This window comes from Homo sapiens, chromosome 3 (assembly GCF_000001405.40).
Source record: "Homo sapiens chromosome 3, GRCh38.p14 Primary Assembly".
NCBI classification, from domain to species: domain Eukaryota; kingdom Metazoa; phylum Chordata; class Mammalia; order Primates; family Hominidae; genus Homo; species Homo sapiens.
In genome coordinates this window covers 71,501,576-71,520,851 of record NC_000003.12, presented here as the reverse complement: position 1 = coordinate 71,520,851, position 19,276 = coordinate 71,501,576, and the positions used below count along the sequence as shown (strand labels likewise).

Sequence of the window (19,276 nt, the reverse complement as noted above, 5' to 3'; positions counted from 1 at the left end):
TGGCAACTGTCGTTGCTGATTATACTTTGTGACTTACCTGAGTTACTTTGGAGAAAAAAATAAATGTCACGAAAATTTCAATTGACTTGTCAATGCCAACCTGTTTTGGCTCCTAGAGGCTAAGTGGAGACACAAGACCGACAGGTTTCTGATACACACTGTTCTCAGCATTTTGGGTATGCCTGACTTACTCATTCTTTTGCTAGAACATTTTAGATCTGAAGCTGTTTTCTCGAGGGCAGTCTCACGCTGACATTTTTAGGGCAACTGGAATAGTGTTTTGTTGCTGTTCTGGGAAATGTGGGGGAAAGGCCCCCTTATATCCTTGTAAAGATGTCCTCAAATCTAACCTTAGTGACAGACGGGGACTATTTCTAATGAGCCGCCAAGTGGTTCTCATCTGATATAATTCTGCAAGGATTCCTGTGGAGTTGCACAAGATGGGCTTTCCCTTGTATTTGGAATGAGAACATTTAAAGGGGTCAGCCAGTTTCATGCTGGGAAGTCATTCTGCACATATGCTAAGAAATGGATATATGTTTTTTAAAAATGTGAACTCCTTCCCGTCATTGAAAAGGAATGTAAAATGATCTATTTTTCAAAAAGGTGTAGAAATTGATGAGGCAAACAGAAGTCTATGAGTGGTTCATTTATAGGTTAGAAGAGAGCATGTTCTGTGTTTCAGACACTCATAATAAGATGAAGAAATGTCCCAAGATAATTGGGGAGATGCATGGAGTTAATAGGGAATGGTATGTGTATGCTCATGCACTTTCTTTTCTTCTTTCTTCCTTTCTGTCTGTCTGCCTGTCTCTTTTTCATCTAATTTTATTTCTTAATCCAAAGATTGTCTGGTCACCTACTTGATTCTTACTTGGAAAACTGTGTCCCAAGAATATCTTGACATGTGTTTGCCTCACTTAACATGGCCCCTTTATGGGAGGGACTGCATTCAGCAGGGACTGGCCCCCACATTTATGGGAAAGCATTTCAGACTCTGGAGAGAACAAAGCATTTGCTTACATCCCAGTGCAGCTGGTTAGCACCTTTATAGAGATTTAGCAGCAAGCAGACAACAGTTTGTCATTTAAAGTACTTACACCACAATATCATTCTTGTATAAACACACTGGGGGAAGAATTGGGTTTTTAGTTTGTTTCTTTGAGGCATGCCAAAGACTGAGTTTTGAATTTGGCATGGGGGCAAGGAATAGAAATAAAGTGACCCCAACTTAGGTAAATATAAAGATCTGTTGCGTGGAACCAGAGAAGTGATGGGAAGACAATGCCCAGGAAAGTGGGGTGAGTAGAGATGGGGCCTTAGAAAATGGTCTGTGCCTTCCTGAGAGAATCCTAATATACTTATCAGAGAGTTAGGAGGCTCTGTGCTTTGGCATTTGAGATAGGAAGAGACAGGTTAGAGGTGGCTGATCTTCATGGCAGAGAATAGGACTTAACATGAAATCTAATGTCTAGTACTTTTCTGTGATGATGTACTATGTAAAGTCTCCGCAGTTTTACCTTTCATGGTATCCCCAGCCTTCTAGGCAGCTCACGCAATTGCCTGCTCACACATTATTTTATTATTTATTTAGTTAGTTAGTTTTGAGATGCAGTCTCCCTCTACCACCCAGGCTGGAGTGCAGTGGCACAATCTCGGCTCACTGCAACCTCTGCCTCCTGGGTTCCAGTGATTCTCCTGCCTCGGCCTTCTGAGTAGCTGGCAATAGAGGCATGTGCCACCACATCTGGCTAATTTTTGTATTTTTAGTAGAGATGGGGTTTCACCGTGTTGGCCAGGCTGGTCTCAAATTCCCGATCTCAGGCGATCCGCCCGTCTCGGCCTCCCAAAGTGCTGGGATTACAGGCGTGAGCCACCGCACCTGGCCTCACACATTATTTTATCCCCTGCTATGTAACCACTTTCATCTATTCGGGAGCCTTGCCAGTTCTTTCTCCTCATTGTGTCCTCTGATGCTTTGCATAGTGTCTGGCATCTCGTTAGAAGTTCATCAAATGTATATAGAATTGCTTATAAGGTCACAGAGTAATGGAGGGTGTATTAGCTAAGGAAATGCTAGCTGCTGTAACAAATAAACATACAAATGTTTAATGACTCAAACCCAATAGGTATTTTTCTCCAAATTGACAAGGCCTCTCTTGCAAGCATTGTTTCAGACACCCTTTGTTCTTACATTTTATGGCGCCACCATCTTCTGCATGTGTTTTCCAAGTCTGCCAACTTGAGAAAAGAGCAAGGGTCATGTAAGTAAAATTGTATGGACCTGTCCTGGAAGTAGTATATATCACTTACACAAACACTCCATTGAAACAGGTGAACATGTTCACAAAAGAGGGAGAAAAGGGCCCAAAAGTTATTTATGAATTTATGCTGTCTTTTGGAATTAGATGATAATTCCCTAGAGGGCAAGGATAGTGCTTTCTATATATTCTTTTATCTTTCTTGGTGTTTCTCACATTTTTAAGCAAATAAGCATGGGGAGGTTTTTGGTTGACTGACCTTGAGCTTGCATTTTCTCATCTGTAGAATTCTGTTTGCCTAACAAGGGTAGGAATTTGGAGTCAGGGAATCTTTTTGCTGCTGGTGATCTGATGAGATCATTTGGTCCAGCTGGGGCTGTTTGTATTAATTAAGTTTCTTAGAGTTCTTAGAGATGCATGTGCTTAGATAAAATGCAAGAAAAACAAAAAACAAAAAACAAAAAAAAACACTGTCAAATGTCCAGCAAGATTTTCTATGGTTTCCCCAAGCAGTTGTTCATTAAGAGGAAAGGCAGAGAGTTTTTCACTGGGGAGGGCTTATTACTCTAATGTTCCATTGGACCATTTCTTGAATACCTTGTTACTGAGTTGACTTAACATTTGAGATAGCATCCAGTGCACCTGATGTATTTCGAGGGGAGAGCTAATAATGACACTTATATGCCAGCGGAATATGACTTAGGTAAGATGAACAATCATTCTATGCAGGCAACATTAGATGTAGACATTACCTAGTTAGTTGTATCTTTGCAGTAGTCCAGCGAGTTTGTTTTCCCATCTTAAGTTGAGGAGACTGAGGTCTTGAGAGCGTGAGTAGCTTGTCTAAGAATGTAACTAATGAAATGAAGGAGCTGGAATTTGAACCAGGTAGCTTGCTGAGCCAGTATTCAATAAAAGAGAGTGTTTTCTCTTCTCTCTGGTATGAATATTATACTGAAGATAAAGGAGAAAGAAGTGATACCAGTTCAGTGTTCCTGGAATGCTGGCCATTTCTGGGAAGGATTGGATGAAAAATCTCGAGTTGATTGGTCAAGTTGCTGTGTTGGTAGTAAAATAAACATCATTCCACTGACAATTATTATAATAGACATTTCCCTGACAGTTAATAAAGTGGTATAGAATACTACTGATAATATAATCCCTGTTGCCAGTTTGGCTGCTAAATCCAAGAAACCCCTGGGCAATGGTTAGACAAATACATTCTTGCATTGTTACTTATTTAAGTCATGTCACACATGACTAGACAGCATTTCCATCATTTGAAAGCCTTTCGTTATTGCCTTCTCTTCAATGCTGTGAATCTGTATGGACTTGGACTTGCAGATGTGTTGTCATTATCATCTGTGTTTTGCATAGCCACATGTATTTTTTTTTTTGATAGATCACCTTCAGTGTAGGTTAATATTTTTAGCAAAAGTAAGACATAATATTTTGATCCTCTTTTCTGACTATTTGAAACTTTGTATTAAAGTATGGGTTGTTTTCTCAGGACCAACTAATGTGGCTGACATCATTTCCAAATTGGAAAGCCATGTTTTTCTCCTACCAATGATGTAGCTATTTAAAATTCACAGGGGGTGAAAGAGAAAGCACACACACAGTCAGCTCTGACAGGCGAGACACACACGTGGCCCTGGATGGGTGCTTCATATATGGCGTATGTGTCGATTGGCTAAGTGAATGAATGAACAGAAGAATGAGTCTTTTCTTTTCTTTTCTTTTTTGAGACAGAGTCTTGCTCTGTCACCCAGGCTAGAGTGCAGTGATGTGATCTCAGCTCACTGCAACCTCTGCCTCCCGAGTTCAAGCGATTCTCCTGCCTCAGCCTCCCAAGTAGCTGGGATTGCAGGTGCCCGCCACAACACCCAGCTGATTTTTGTATTTTTAGTAGAGATGGGGTTTCACCATGTTGGCCAGGTGGGTCTTGAACTCCTGACCTCAGGAGATCCACCCGCCTTGGCCTCCCAAAGTGCTAGGATTACAGGCATGAGCCACCACACCCGGCCTACAGCAGAATGAGTCTTATTCTGGTTAGTATATTTCATTTTCTAGAAAATAACCAAGATAATATATTTTAGGAATGAGATTAGGATACAAAGTATGAGCTCATTTTTCTTTTGGTATAATTGCAAACTTAACACAGATAGTTGCAAGAATAATGCAAGAATTCCCTATGCCTTTTAGCGAGATTTACCAATTGATTATACTTGGTTCCATTTGTTTTTCATTCTTTTTCTATCCCTCCTTCTCATACTCTCAGATACACACACGTGTGCACACACACACGTTTGCATTGTGCTTTTCCTAAATCCTTTGACAGTAAGTTTGAAATCTCAAGCACCCTTACCATAAAATGCTTCAGCATGTATTTCCTTACAAGGCCGTTATTTTACGTAACTGCAGTACATTAATCAAGCGGGAGGTTTAGCATTGATAAAAGACTGTGGCACGATGTTGTCAGTGTCTCTGATCTCTTCTGTAGCTGTTGTTTTGCCTAGTCCAGAATCCAATCCAGGATCATGTACTGTATTTAGTTGTCACTCTCTTTTATAAGTTTGTATTTAATGAGCGTTTGATTAAACAAAATGTGTTACGGAATCTCAGATGAACGACACTGGCCATTCTTCTAACCCATTCTCCTGGCTGCAAACAAAATCATTTTGAAACATCAGAGACAGAGCGTATTCTGACCCTTGTTCCTTCCTTAAAAAGATGACGTTTTTTGTTTCCTTTTGTTTTAGCAACTTTCCTTAGTAATCTCTTCCTGGTCTCACTACCCTGGTAGCAGCAGTGTTTTTGCTTATGTTGAACCAGTAAAGGTGAGCTAGATATAACTTATGTTAAGTGCTGTTTTCTTCACAATGTTACATTCTTGAGTTACTTTTTTTCTCTTCTGTAGCCACACAGCACAAAAGTCTCCCTTTCTCCTCCCCCTCCCTCCCTAGACTTTATTTCACTATGGGACTTTGCAGTAATGTTAGATTGGCTCTGGCAAAGGCATTTTGATGACCCCTGTCTCCGATCATTATAGTAACTAATAAAAGCTTGAAAATGACTGTTACCCTGCAAGCGTGATTCCAATGACTTGCGGCGAGCTCAGCTGTATAAATGTGCAGTTTTTTTTTTTTTTTTTTTTGCTGTGTAAATTTTGATCAAAGGGAAATGCGTATACCATTTAGTTGAACGTTTCTTTTAAATTTAATCACATCTTAGTGTAAAACAACAAGCAGAAATAAAATGGCATTGGAAATGTGAGCTTAAGATTCAGAAAGAATGGAGATACTGGTCCACATAGCAGCTTTCCATACCGCGTTGTGTGAAGCATTTTGGTTCGATGCAGAGGGTATGGGATAGATGGCATGAATACTATAGCCATGGTTATATATTCAACAGAAAGGCCTGTTTTGGTTATGAGAGGGTCTAGAAATGCCAGTTTGTAACGAAGAGAATGGAGGTCTGTCGTAAAATTCACAAACTAAACTTTTTGAGTTAAACTTGAAAGCAGATAGCCTGGCTATCTTTATGCTGTTTAATTAAAATTTTGACTTCTATAAAAAATGGTAGTTTTAGTATTTTTCTTTTGAAGTTGCCTGCTGTGAGTCTAATTAATTTTTATTTAATAATAGGTTTGCATCTTTGAACTGTTTTTCTTGTCTTAGGGCTGGGTATCTTGTTAGTGAGTGGAAAGGAATGTTGGAAGAGGAGCGATAAAGGATGTTTCAGTCCCTTACTGGGCGTGGTGTGAGATGAATTCTGAGGTTGTGACTGGGCCCAGTGGGCGAGAGCATTGAGCTGCTCACCTGGGTCGGCTCCACATGCAGGTCACAGAACTGTGGTGTACGTGCTGGGTATTTGCTGAGCTTAGACAGGTCTGTTTTTTCAACTTGTATGAAGGAGAAAAAAGGAGGTGAAGAGAACATACCCTTCCCAACAGGGGGGAGAGCCTTCACAGAATGTCCACTCCTGGATTCATTCATCTATTCAATTGTTCAGTCAACAGATATTTACCAAGTGCCTGTTTTGTACATGACACTGTTCCAGGCATGTGGGATAAATCAATGAACAAAACAGACAAAGATCCTGGCCTTGTGGGCACTCATTCTGGGGAGAGAAAGGATGCAGACAGACAGACATAATAAGTAGATTAGTTAGGAGGTTAGAAGGGGTGTGCAGGAGAAGAAAAACCAGGGAATGAGGTTGGCAGTTCTGTGGAGTGAGAGTGGGCTGTGCTTTTGATTGTGACGCCAAGTAGTTCTTTTTAAAGGTGCTGTTTGAGTAAGGACTTGAAGGAGGTGAATGAGTTAGACTTGTAGAACATTCCAGGCAGAGGGAACAGTTAATCAAAGACCCTATGGTTGGGGGCAAGTCATGCATAATCAAAGGGCAGTCAGGAGGCTGCTGTGGCCAAGAGGAGTGGACTGGGGGAGTGTGGTGAGAGATGGGGCCTGAGAGCCAGTTGGGGCCATACCATTAAAGGACTTGCCTTTGTCAAAGTCAAAATATAGAGACAAGTGTCTAAATTCAGTGTTTTATTTGGGAATCACAGAATTGCAGTTCAAGGCATATGCACAGACTCATTGGAGCAAAGTTTGAGGATTTTATTAGACATAGTTTTATTAGAAATGGAAAGAAAGCTCACTGGCAAGAGAAGCAGCTTAGGGGAGCTGGCAAGCTCTGAACAGCGAGTGACGGTGATAGGTAGAGCTAGCCTTAAGAGTTGTGGCAGGTCATTTCAGCAGCTATTAGGTAAACCCGGTCTTATGGTTGCAGCAGGCAGTTTCAGCAGCTGGGCTTGCAGAGAATTACATTCTTGGAGCCATGCTATGTGCCCTGAGTGCCTTTATCCTCCAGGCCCTCAGAGTGATTCAGTTTGGGGTATGACAAAGAATGACCCATTCCACATCATGAACTTTCACACCTTGCGCTACACCCTGACCCATTTTGTATAATCAACTTTCACACAGTTCTGGTGCGAGAGGTGGAGGTGTTGATCTGCTATAAGTTTTAAGAAGTTCTCTTTTGCTACCGTGTTGAGAATAGACCACGGGTGGGGTAAGAGAAGGAGCAGGGAGTCCTGTTAGGAAGCTTGGCGGGGAGATGATGGTGGCTGTGACCAGGAAGTTGGTAGCGAAGGAGGGGAGTACTGGCTTTTTATATCTGTTTTGAAGGCAGACTCTATGGGATTTCCTAATGGAATAGATGTAGAATTTAAGAGAAAGACACGAGTCAGTATTGACTCAAAGATGATTGGCCTGAGTGTGATGAGAAGGATATAGTTGCCGTGGACTATGATTGGGAAGGACAAGTTGTGTTGGGGAAGGATGTGGTCAGAGCCTGCTTGAGATTGAAAATCACGTGGATAGAGCCTGCTTGAGAGGGTAAATCAAGTTCTGGACGTGTTGAGTCTGAGATGTCTAGACATTCCAGAGGACAGGCTGTAGAGGCAGATAGGTACACACATCTGGAGTTAAGGAAAGAGGTATGGGCCAGGTTGGGAGCCCAGGGAGTTAGGAATGCCTGGTAAATGCTACTGGAGCAGGCTGTTTTCATGTTCCCCTAAAACTGACCTTACTAGTATCTCAGGGATCCTTCTGTGTGTTTGCCGTGTAAGGAGATGCTCAGTTTAACTCTTGAGGGTGACGTTTCCTTGGTGTTAGGCATTGGTGCTTGAGCCGTAGGGCTGGCGTGCTGGTTCTGTGTACCTAAAGGAAGCTCTCAGAGTCACAGAAAGTCTGAAATAAACACAGGGGTGGAGATGGTCTTTCCTCCCTCATTACTGTGTGTGGGAAGAGATGACGGCACCAGGATGTGGGACAGAATGGAACTGAGAATCCAAGTTGGTTGACTCCCTTTCTGTTCTCTTTCTACTCTACTGGGTAGTGACCAGCTGTTGTATGAAGTGGCATTCACAAATGAATAATCCAACACCTTTGCTTCTCTCATCCCTTTATTCATCTTTTGTCACCCAGGAAAAGTTGGATTGCATTGTAGAAAGAAGAGGACTACTATTGCTTTTCTGTCTTAAATATGTACTACTTAAGTGTGTTGTGATGGGGGAAAAATAGACTCTTCAGGAACATGCATATGGTGCTTTTGGTAACAAGGCAATAAGGTAATAGGTGGAGGAAGGTTAGGAGTTCATTTTTGGGTGGGGATTTCTTCCTTTGTGTCTGCAAGAGAGGTGGGATATGGCTCTGGCTTTTTACCTTGCTTACAGGGTGTGTCTGCTCTTAAATCTTCTCCTGAGATGGGGCCTAGGCTATGCTGCCTGTCCTTAGCCAAGATAAGAGGTCATTTAGGGGCCAGGTATATTACCCTACCCTTCGCCAGGCCCTATATCCTGTCTCTAAGGCACCACTGGGAGGCAATATAGCACAATGTGAACTAGGTTCAACCCCTGGTTCCCCTCCACTTAATTACTATGTGACCTTGAGCAGGTGACTTCCCATCTCTGAGCCGTGGTTTTCTCACGTATAAAGATGCATTCCTACATCAGAGCTTTGTTGTGAGGAACCAAATGGGAAAATCTATGTCAAGGGCTGAGCACTGCACTTGGCACAAAGTAAATGTTGACTAAATGGCAGCTATTATTGTTGTCGTCATCACCAGCAGTTCCGTCAACTCCTACCTGAGCCTTAGGCCAGTTTTGTTAAGATTAATTTAGTTTCCAAAAAAGATGTGCTAATTGGATTATTACATTTTCATGTGTTTACATCTATATATACATGCATGGCTTTGAAATCTACACATGAATATATTTATCCATTCAAGTTTCTCTTTTAAAAATCTGTAAGGATTATATTTTTAAGTCATTGAACCATGATGAGATTCTTTTTCAAAAAAAGGATTGCTATAAGTGATCATTATGTAGGCCATCAAAATGGAGAATAATGTAGACATGGAGCTAAAAGAAAACCAAAAAAAAGGAAGTCAGTGTTCATACAGGGCCACCAATTGAGTGCATATTTTTATGGCCTGGTTATTTAAAAATATTGGCACTTGCCTACATTGTTTAGGATTGGATGACACAGACAGAGATGTTTTGGGGTTGGGGTAATTTTTTTTTTTTTTTTATTAATTCTACAACTTGTAGACTTGTAATCAGGAGTGGCTTATCAGCAGCTTTTCAAAATCTGACATTCCACATGGAATGCCCCAATGGAGGAAATTTAGCACTCTGTGAATGCTTTTACAGTTGAATTCCACACATATGAATTATGACAAGTGAGGCTGACTACACTGTGGTTTGTTGTGTCTGGTCTGGTTCCTACTTTTAAAGTTGCAGTTGCGTTTGGTCATTTGAAGCTTATTTTCACAGTCTGGCCAAGCCAGCAGGGTCCCGGGGCTCTGCAGGGGACATAAACCACCAGCCTTTAAGCCAGAGTGCTCAGTAGATAAGCATTTCAAGACTTCATTGCATCATACAAAAGGACTTATGGGCTTATTTAACATACACTATTTGACTTAATTTAGATATTTAATGGAAAGAAAAGCCTTTTATTATCACCGAAGGAAAGAACTGCCAAACATTGTGAGGCTCAGTTGAAATATTATAACGGATATACAGAGTGCAAATATATTTCACTGCCTTACATAATGGGGTGTTTAATAATAGTTGTTTCTTTAAATTTAGCACACGTATCTCAGACATTTGCACTTTGTAAATTATAGGCCGTGGTTCAAGAAACTCAGTTTTAAAAAAATTGTTTTAATGAGGCATGTACTGATTTTTTAAAAATGACCTTCAGCTTTGATTTATGTTTATGAGCCCAGATTGGGGAGTTCATGCCAGGAATGAACACTTTCCGTCCTGACTTTTTACAAATGTAAATATGAGCAATGGCTGGGTCTGCTGACTCGATTGGACAGAGCTTAGTTGAACATTGCAGTTGGTAGGCATCAGCCCCCTCTGCAGGTCTGGTGGCTGGGAAGAGCAAGGAGCTCACTACAGCACTGGGAGGACACTACACATAAGTGTCTAGGGGGAAGCCTTTCCATTGTGCTGCACCTGTGTGCTTTCATTTTCTGAAGTACCTGGACTGGCTCAGATTGCCAAAGCCCAAGGCCCAAGATCAACTGATTTTTTTTTTTTAGAGACAGAGTCTCACTCTGTTGCCCAGGCTGGAGTGCAGTGGTGGGATCTCAGCTCACTACATCCTCTGCCTCCTGGGTTCAAGCGATTCTCCTGCCTCAGCCTCCCAAGTAGCTGGGATTACAGGCAAGTACCACCACACCTGGCTAATTTTTTGTATTTTTAGTTGAGACGGGGTTTCACTGTGTGGGCCAGGCTGGTCCTCAAGTGATACACCCGCCTTGGACTCCCAAAGTGCTGGGATTACAGGAATGAGCTACCGCACATGGCCTGACTCTTCTTATTTATTTATTTTTTGAGACAGAGTCTTGCTGTGTTGTCCGGGCTGGAGTGCAATGGCGCAATCTCGGCTCACTACAACCTCCGCCTCCGGGGTTCAAGCGATTCTCCTGCCTCAGCCTCCCTGGTAGCTGGGATTACAGGTGCCTGCCACCACACGCCTGGCTAATTTTTGTATTTTTAGTAGAGATGGGGTTTCACCATGTTGGCCAGGCTGGTCTCCAACTCCTGACCTCAGGTGATCTGCTCGCCTTGGCCTCCCAAAGTGCTGGGATTACAGGCGTGAGCCACCGTGCCTGGCCTGATTCCTTCTTTTTAGAGACAGAGTCTTGCTCTCTTGGCCATCCTGGAGTGCAGTGGCCTAATCATAGCTCATTGCAATCTGAAACTCCTGTGCTCAAGTGATCTTCTTGCCTCAACCTCCTGAGTAGCTAAGAATCAGGTGCATGTCACTGAGCCCGGCTAATTTTTAATTTTTTGTAGAGACAGAGGCTTCTTTATGTTGCCCAGGCTGGTCTTGAACTCCTAGCCTCAAGCAATTCTCCCATCTGAGCCTCCTAGAGCATAACTGATTCTTAATTTGGGGCCTAGCTTGTCCTTTCAGGAGGTGAGGAGCTGTTGTGGGTTGAATTATGTCCTCCCCCCATGATGTATACACTGAAGCCCTCACCCCCAGTACCTCACTCGGAATGTGACTGTATTTGGAGATAGGGACTTTAAAGAGATAATTAAATTAAAAATGAGATCATTAGGATGGGCCCAAATCCAGTGTGACTGGTATCCTAATAGGAAGAGGAGATTCTAACAAAAACCCACACGGGAAGACCGTGTGATGACACAGAGGGAAGATGGCCAAAAAGAGGGGCCTCAGGAGAAACCCACCCTGTGGATACCTTGATCTTCGACTTTCAGCTTCTAGAGTCATGAGCAAATATTAATGAATGCCTGTGGTTCAAGCCACCCAGTCTCTTGTACTGGGTTACAGCAGCCCTGGCTGACTAATAAGGGAGCATACAGTATCAGAATCTGCACAAGGGCATGCTTCATCTCTATTCTCTATTATAATACAATGCTTAAATATGAAAAAATGATGGCAAGAAAACCATTACAAGGAAGAAACCCATAATGACTGGCGAAATCCATACGGAGAGTGGAGCTGTATCAGAAAATGCCAAAGTAGTCATGATGGGTCAGGTTTATTGAGAAGTCCCAGTGGGCTGAATGCAGAGCTCAGTGTCTCACATACATTTTCCCCTTTTGTCCTCACCACAATCCTGTGAGCTATGAGCTGTTGCCCTCTTCATCTTGTAAGCAAGGAAACTGAGGCAAGGAAGTTAAGTGACATCCACGAGATTTCAGAGCCAGCCAGGGTCAGAGCTGGAATTCCAAGGCAGGTATCACTCTGCAGACCTAAGTTGTTTCTTTGACAGCCCTAAGCCCTTGGGAGGTTGGGGGCCAGAGAGGGGTGGTTGTAGGATCTATTACGATAATTGGTTAAAAGATATTGGGACACATTGCCTTAACGATGTTTTGGTTCCATCTGCAGAAAGAGGCTATAAAACGTATTGAGTAGAGTGAAGATGTCACTCGTAAAACAATGAGTATCACTCATATTACAGAGCCCTCAGGATCTGTGAGCCCTGATCCAAGCCCTGTACATACCTGCCTATTTCTAACTCACAGAGGCCTGAGCAGCTTCCCCAGAGCTTCTGGGAGTTCTGCACCCAGGCCGTCTGACTCCAGCACCTGGACCTCTAACCACTGGGTAGGCACTGCCTTCCCTCACGAGCCCAGCGCCTGCCTAGCATCTGCTTCTGTCACAGTGAGGGAAAGATGGTGGCTGCCATTTGAGCTTTTAAAACAGAAAAATACTTTGTCCCCCAAATTTCCTCCCTTTATTACAAACATGATTTATGATAAATGTAAAGAATCTAAAAACCAAATCAAAGCTAGAATAAACATTATCTGTAGTGCCACCCCCTAAAAAGAATTACTTCTAGTATTTTTGTCAGCTTTTCTAGTCCTTTTTCCCCCTATAGAAATATACTTAATGCAGCCATAAATATACTAATAAGTTTATAGGCAGCAGCACTCATTAGAAAAGAGCAAGAGCTTTGGAATAAGACTTGGGTTTAAATCCATTTACTAGTTGTGTGTATTTGGACAAGTTATTTTATTTCCCTGTGTCTCCATTTGCTGTCTGTAAAATGGGGATAATAACACTTCATTGGATTTTGCAGTAGCCTAGCATATGTAATGTGCTTATTCCTGTCAGCTGGCACACAGTAAGTACTCAAATAACTTTAAAAAGTAGCAGTTTTGGGCTGGGTATTGTGGCTCATGCCTGTAATCCCAGCACTTTGGGAGGCCAAGGTGGGTGGATCACGAGGTCAGGAGATCGAGACCATCCTGGCTAACATGGTGAAACCCCATCTCTACTAAAAATAGAAAAAATTAGCCGGGCATGGTGGCAGGTGCCTGTAGTCCCAGCTACTCTGGAGGCTGAGGCAGGAGAATGGCGTGAACCCGGGAGGCAAAGCTTGCAGTGAGCCGAGGTTGTGCCACTGCACTCCAGCCTCGGTGACAGAGCGAGACTCCATCTCAAAAAAAAAAAAAGCAGTTTTGCAACATATCATTCAATAGACATTTGGTAAGCAGGTATGATTTGGGGCTCACGTTTCCTTCTATGCCCTTGTTTGTTTTTACAATACTTTTTAATGGTTGCATAATATTTCATTATCATATGAATCAGAAATAGTTTTTAACTGACATTTATTTTTCTGTTTTCATATACTAGATAATGCTGTGATGTATTCCTTTGTGACCTTGTAGTTGAATTCTCCCCAGTGATTACTATTTTGTTAAAAGCATGCATTCCTGTTCACTCCTTACTCTTTGGAAGGGATTCTAAGTCTTGTTGAAGCATATCACCACCCAACTGGAAAGGCGGTGTCAGTTTACCCTGGCCCTGGCTGTGCATGAGAGTACCTGTTTCTATTTGTGAAACTTTAATGTAAAATTAGATCAATGGGCATGAAAGAAAACTGGGGCATAATTAAGTTCTGTGGTTCGCTGACCCAAATCTGGTACCATGAAGGACTGGCAGCAGCTCACACATTTGAGAGAGGAGAGAGCAGCCGGGGACACTGTTGTTCACTTAGTTGTGTGGTCCAAGCAAAGATGAGAACAGCAGCTCTCAGGTGTGGAGCCGTTGCTGGTTGACTAGGCATTGAGCACAGTGCTCTCCAATTGGATAATTTAATCTCAGCAATGCTTGGAGGTAGGGACTTTCATTAGCCCCATTTTATAGAAGCAGAAATGGAGGTTTAGAGAAACTGTAAAGTGTGCAGAATTACAAGGCTACTCTATGGCAACGTTGGGAGCTGAACCCAGGTGCCCTGATGTTCAGCTTCCTGCTCTTGTCTTAGGATATTAGTAATGGAGGTGGAAATCTGGATGCAAGAGCCAGCACTGAGCCTAAGTCAAGGGCAAACGTGGTAGCTGGCTGGTACTGAGGGGAAGGACCAGCTTCCCCCAGTTGTTCAGCTTCCTGCTCTTGTCCTAGGATATTAGAAATGGAGGTGGAAATCTGGATGCAAGAGCTAGCAGCGAGCCTAAGTCAAGGGCAGACGTAGTAGCTGCCTGGTACTGGGGGAAGGATACCGTGGAACCCCTTAGTTGGAAAAGTTATCAGCTAGTTGGAAAAGAAAACCTGGGGATTTGGCAAACACAGGGAGGTGAGGAGGGGGAGCCAGTGTAGGGAGCGTGTGCGGATTCGAATAGCAGATACGCCGCCGTGGAGACAGGAGATGTAAAACTACCACTTGCCCTGTTTCAAGGTTTACATGCATTATCCCACTTAATCTTCAAACCACTCCATGATGTAGGAAGTATCATTACCTCTGTTTTGCAGCTGATGAAACAGAGGCCCAGAAAACTTAAATAGGGTTGGACCACGAGTATCACAGCCAGGATCGGACCCCAGGCAGCCAACTCCCAACACTGCCGAAGCCAACTGCGAACTAAGGCTCAGTGGAGAATTTGCAACCTGGGATATATTTGTTGGAAGTGATTGCTCCCTCCTTTTGAACTTTGCAGCAATTATTGTCTGTAGAATTCATCTGGCAATTAATCATGTACTCCCGGTGACAAGGCTCTTATTGTTGTCTTGAAATGTTATTTAAATCGCACATTGTTATTTAACTTCTTGCCCAGAGAGGCAGACTGTGCCTGGGTATCCCCCACCTCACCCAGTGCATGTGGTACCACAGTGCAATAAATGTTTGATTTAATTTCATTTGAGAGGCTTCCGGGCGGAAGTGATAATCTCATCCTTTAGACTTTAGTGACAGGTGACATTCGTGGAGGGGAAGAAGTAGGAGAGGAAGGGGGACGATGCCCACAGTTGTGATTCAGAAGAAAATGGGAGAATTGAAGGGAGACCGAGAGAAGAATAGAAAGCATCCCTCTTCAGGGCTGGGCGCAGTGGCTCACGCCTGTAATCCCAGCATTTTGGGAGGCCGAGGCAGGCAAATCATGAGGTCAGGAGATCGAGACTATCCTGGCTAACACGGTGAAACCCTGTCTCTACTAAAAATACAAAAATTTAGCCGGGCGTGGCGGCAAGCGCCTGTAATCCCAGCTACTCTGGAGGCTGAGGCAGGAGAATCGCTTGAACCTGGGAGGGGAGGCGGAGATTGCAGTGAGCCTAGATTGCACCACTGCACTCCAGCCTGGGCGACGGAGTGAGACTCCATCTCAAAAAAAAAAAAAAAAAAAAAAAGCATCCCTCTTCTACAGTCCAATAGGAGGACTGAGTGCATGCCTCATATGCCGTCATAAACTCCCTCCTTGTCTCCTGTCTTGGGGGAGATGTCCTGTCTCATTTCCAAGCTGCACTACCAGGGGTGACTTGGGTCCTTGCTTTTCTGCTTCCCGGGTTTGCCTGACTTCACGCAAGAAGCCAAGGGTTTTAGACAGTGGGAGGCAACGTAGAGGTCTGAACAGAATTATAACTCTATGTTGCCAGGTTGTCTTTATTTTGGGAACCATTCCAAACGTTCCTACTTTTCCTGTTTGAGCTGTTGGAAAAATGGTACTCAGTAGTATTCACTGGTGGTTAAGGGACGAGGCTTGGGTTTCAGAAAGATGTGGCTCTGTCACTGACTGTGGTCTTGGGTAAAGGACTTCCCTTCACCAGCCTTGGTTCGTTCATCTGTAAGATAATAGCATTTACTCTTGCCACCGTTATAAGGCTTAATAAGAGGGTGGATGAAAATGCTATGGACAGAGTACCTCATGTGCAGTGCAGCACAGGCTTTGCACATGTTAGTTGGTGTTAGAACTGGAAGTACCCAGGAGAATATCCAAAAGTCCTACGACCGCATTGAACACCAGGGTGAAGGACCAGCGTGTTCCTTTCCTTTCTCATATTTGCAACAGAAATGTCACCACTTGGGCTCCGTGACACTTTTCTTGATGACATTGTCCTGATCATCAGCTCTTCCCTTGGCGCCTCGAGACATTTCCAAACCACATCATTCCACACACCCTGGAATGTGCACGTTTCCTTTGTCAGAAGGAACTGTGGCCATCAGACGTTGGACAGCTCTGAGCCGGGTTGTTTTCTTCTCATCTACTTACTGTTGTGCTGAAGTTTGGTTTTATTTTTTAATGTAAGAATTGTCTGGAAGTTATTCTTCAGTCATTTCATTAGTCATTTACTTTCTTGGTTTTGAAAATTGAGGAAAAATTACTTTGAGGCAGTGGGTCAGATGAGCGTGGCTGGCTGGGTAACCCATTTCCCGCTGAGTCACCTGTCTGCTCAGACAACTAAATGCTGAAGTATGCTTGATGACTAGTCACTGGCCAACGTCATATTAATCTGAAATTTCGTTTCTGCTCCTTTTAAGTTATGGTAGCTTTGGTTCCTTGGTGGGTTTTTTGAAAGTGCTCCAAGTATTGTATTGATTGGATGATGTAGCCTGGAATTCTCGGTTATCCCCCAAAGTGTTTTTTTCGATTTGAGGCATAAAATTATGACATAGTATTGTTCAAAAAGATGGGATTCAAATGCCTTCATTTTATAAGAAGGGAAACTCAGGTTCCGAGAAGCTCACTGACTTGCGAAACATCTCAAACAGTTGTTGGCAAAGCTGGGATGGCGTTGATCTTCCTGGGAATTTGTGATGTGTACTCACCCCCTGGGTCTTGCTGCACTTCTGCTAAAACTACCTGGAAATTATTTATTTTGGTCTTCTTCCTTGATAGAAGAGAATCTGAAAGTCAGGAATAGTGGCTGCCTCCAAATGCCCTTGGCTCCTTCTCCTGACCCCCTAATGAGCATGTCCCCAGAGCATGTTATAACCTTGGAAAACAAGGCTACTTAGTATGTTTGTACTCTGATGCCTGTATGTTCTGTACATGATCTGGCCTGAATGATGGATGAGGCTCCATACAGGCTTCCTGTGTCTTCTGCCATTCTCCCCTCCCTACAGTACCATACCTGACGAAATAATAACATCGAGTCACTGAGGAGGTTTACCATAGTGTGGTGCTACAACCTTAATTCGTGGTGTTTTTTTTTTTTTTTTTTTTCGAGACAGAGTCTCGTTCTGTTGCCCAGGCTGGAGTGCAATGGCACTATCTTGGCTCACTGCAACCTCCACCTCCTGGGTTCAAGTGATTCTCCTGTCTCAACCTCCCGGGTATCTGAGATTACAGGTGTGTGCCACCACATCCAGCTAATTTTTGTATTTTTAGTAGAGATGGGGTTTCATCATGTTGAAATTCTGTTTGCTTTTTAACTTAACTTGAGCATAAGCTTAGAAGATGATTTGGGGGCTGGGGGCTTTATTTATTTTAGCAAGTAATTTGGCCTGTATTTTTATTCCTTTAAGTAATTTGTAACTAACTACAAAGGCCTCTGGTAAGATGGCTTTTGTTTCTAGTTGGAACATGGAGACCAAGAGAACTCTCTAGAAAACAGATTTGGCTCCACTGCTATGGGACTTCACACTTACCTCCACAGAGGGGCTCTTCTGATGCCTCTATGTAAACAGCACTTTTAAATCCTACTTCAGGGACCATTGGTTTTCTCTCAAGAGATATGTTCCTTTTTTTTCTTCTCTTAACTCTTTTGTTATTTTACTCCTTTTCCAATAATGGAAGGCTTTTCAGTTTTACATTAGAGGCTACTACTTGTTTTTTTTTTTTTTTCTAATTGTAAAGCAGGCAAAAATCATCACAGAAAACAGATCTCAAAAGAATTGCACTTAGTGTTGTGACCTAGTTGGTTTCTTCATTCTTTGAAACATTATTTGATTTTTCCTCCCGTATTAGCTGTTATGTATGCCGGTTACATAACCTTAATTTTTCATGGAAAATATGGATGTCATCAATTAATAGGACTACCCCTGCTGTTGTTATGGCTGGCTTCTTCTAGAATGTTCCCACTGGGGAAACTGAGGCTTAGGTTTGATACTGCAGGATTTGCCATTGTAATGTTTTCCTTTTAGTAACATCATCATTATGAATATAATTCTTGTTCTCATCCAGTAGAGAGCCTTGGTTACCGGCAACCCAGTTCAAGCCTTTGAATAGATACATAGGGATCACCTCTCTAGTGTGAAGATGAAAATAATATAATTTGTTTACCACCTTGAGTTGTTTACCACAGGCTGTGAAAAATATGTTTTGAATTTAAAAGTGTGAAAAACAAGTGTGCTAGCTATCAAAAAAGCTCTCCCCTCAAAGTAAACATGTTTATAGAGCAAGACTCAAAACAAAATACTTGATAAGCCTAGCCAATCAAAAGAAAGTAAACATGTTTACCACAAAAGCCTTATAAAGAACCCAGATGGCAGCCAGCTCTCTGTTCACTTGACCGTCCTTCCAGGGAGCTGCAGAGGCTCCCCTGGGCCTTGGGGACCGGGCCGCCACTTGCCCTGCTAGCAGGGGGCCTGCCTTGTGCTAGCTGTGCTCAGTTAGCTAGACCCAGTTTGCCAGTGGGAACGGAAGGTTTGTGTTTTCTGCCATTTAATTGAATCATGAGTGGAAGGTATTTGTGAAAATGATTCTGGAGTTCCCATGATTCTTAAAGAGCAACTTGTTATAGATAGGGTGCCAAGTGGGCTTCTGGGGGACTCTTCCTGGCTCCCCAAAAGAGCCTTCCTGATGAGCGTCACGCCTCCCAACCTTCTGTGTTCCAGGCGCTGTCGTGCCACCATCCAGGATATAACCTGCAAATCCCAGACCCTGCCTTGCTGATCTCACTCTGCGAAAGAAACCAAAGAGCTTGAACAGGAAGTCAGTAGAAAAGACAAGGCCATCTTGAGGGATACCAGGGTTTTCAGGGCACTGGGTACCACAATATGAGTCTTAGATGATGTAAAAGACACCGAGTTCAGAAACGTGAAGGTGGATTGTGTGCACTGGGAGGAGCAATGGATTCAAGGTGGTTAGTGGCATTAAATTATTTTGACTATAGTCACCTTGCTGTACTATCAACTACCAGGTCTTATTCATTCTTTCTATTTTTTTGTACCCATGCAATGAACATTTTCTTCGAAAGGTCATGTTGTTGTTCAAAAGTGTTTTCACCTTTTGGGCTGGGCACGGTGGC

General features: G+C 43.0%; 1 protein-coding gene across 10 annotated transcripts in view, besides 2 other annotated features; it reads left to right on the top strand.

The window, feature by feature from the left end:
• Window positions 1-19,276, top strand: part of FOXP1 (forkhead box P1) — a 629,271-nt gene that overhangs the window by 63,127 nt on the left and 546,868 nt on the right. The gene's annotated exons all lie outside the window — the stretch shown is intronic.
• Window positions 10,000-10,294: a silencer, noted in NCBI's record as "tiled region #15380; K562 Repressive non-DNase unmatched - State 7:EnhWF". NCBI's record gives its function as "represses a minimal TATA promoter and a strong SV40 promoter by Sharpr-MPRA in K562 cells {active_cell/tissue: K562}" and the evidence as "EXISTENCE:reporter gene assay evidence [ECO:0000049][PMID:27701403]".
• Window positions 16,037-17,236: an enhancer, noted in NCBI's record as "P300/CBP strongly-dependent group 1 enhancer chr3:71552767-71553966 (GRCh37/hg19 assembly coordinates)". NCBI's record gives its function as "activates an origin of replication core promoter dependent on BRD2, BRD4, P300/CBP, MED14 and CDK7 cofactors, with strong dependence on P300/CBP, by STARR-seq in HCT116 cells {active_cell/tissue: HCT116}" and the evidence as "EXISTENCE:reporter gene assay evidence [ECO:0000049][PMID:35650434]".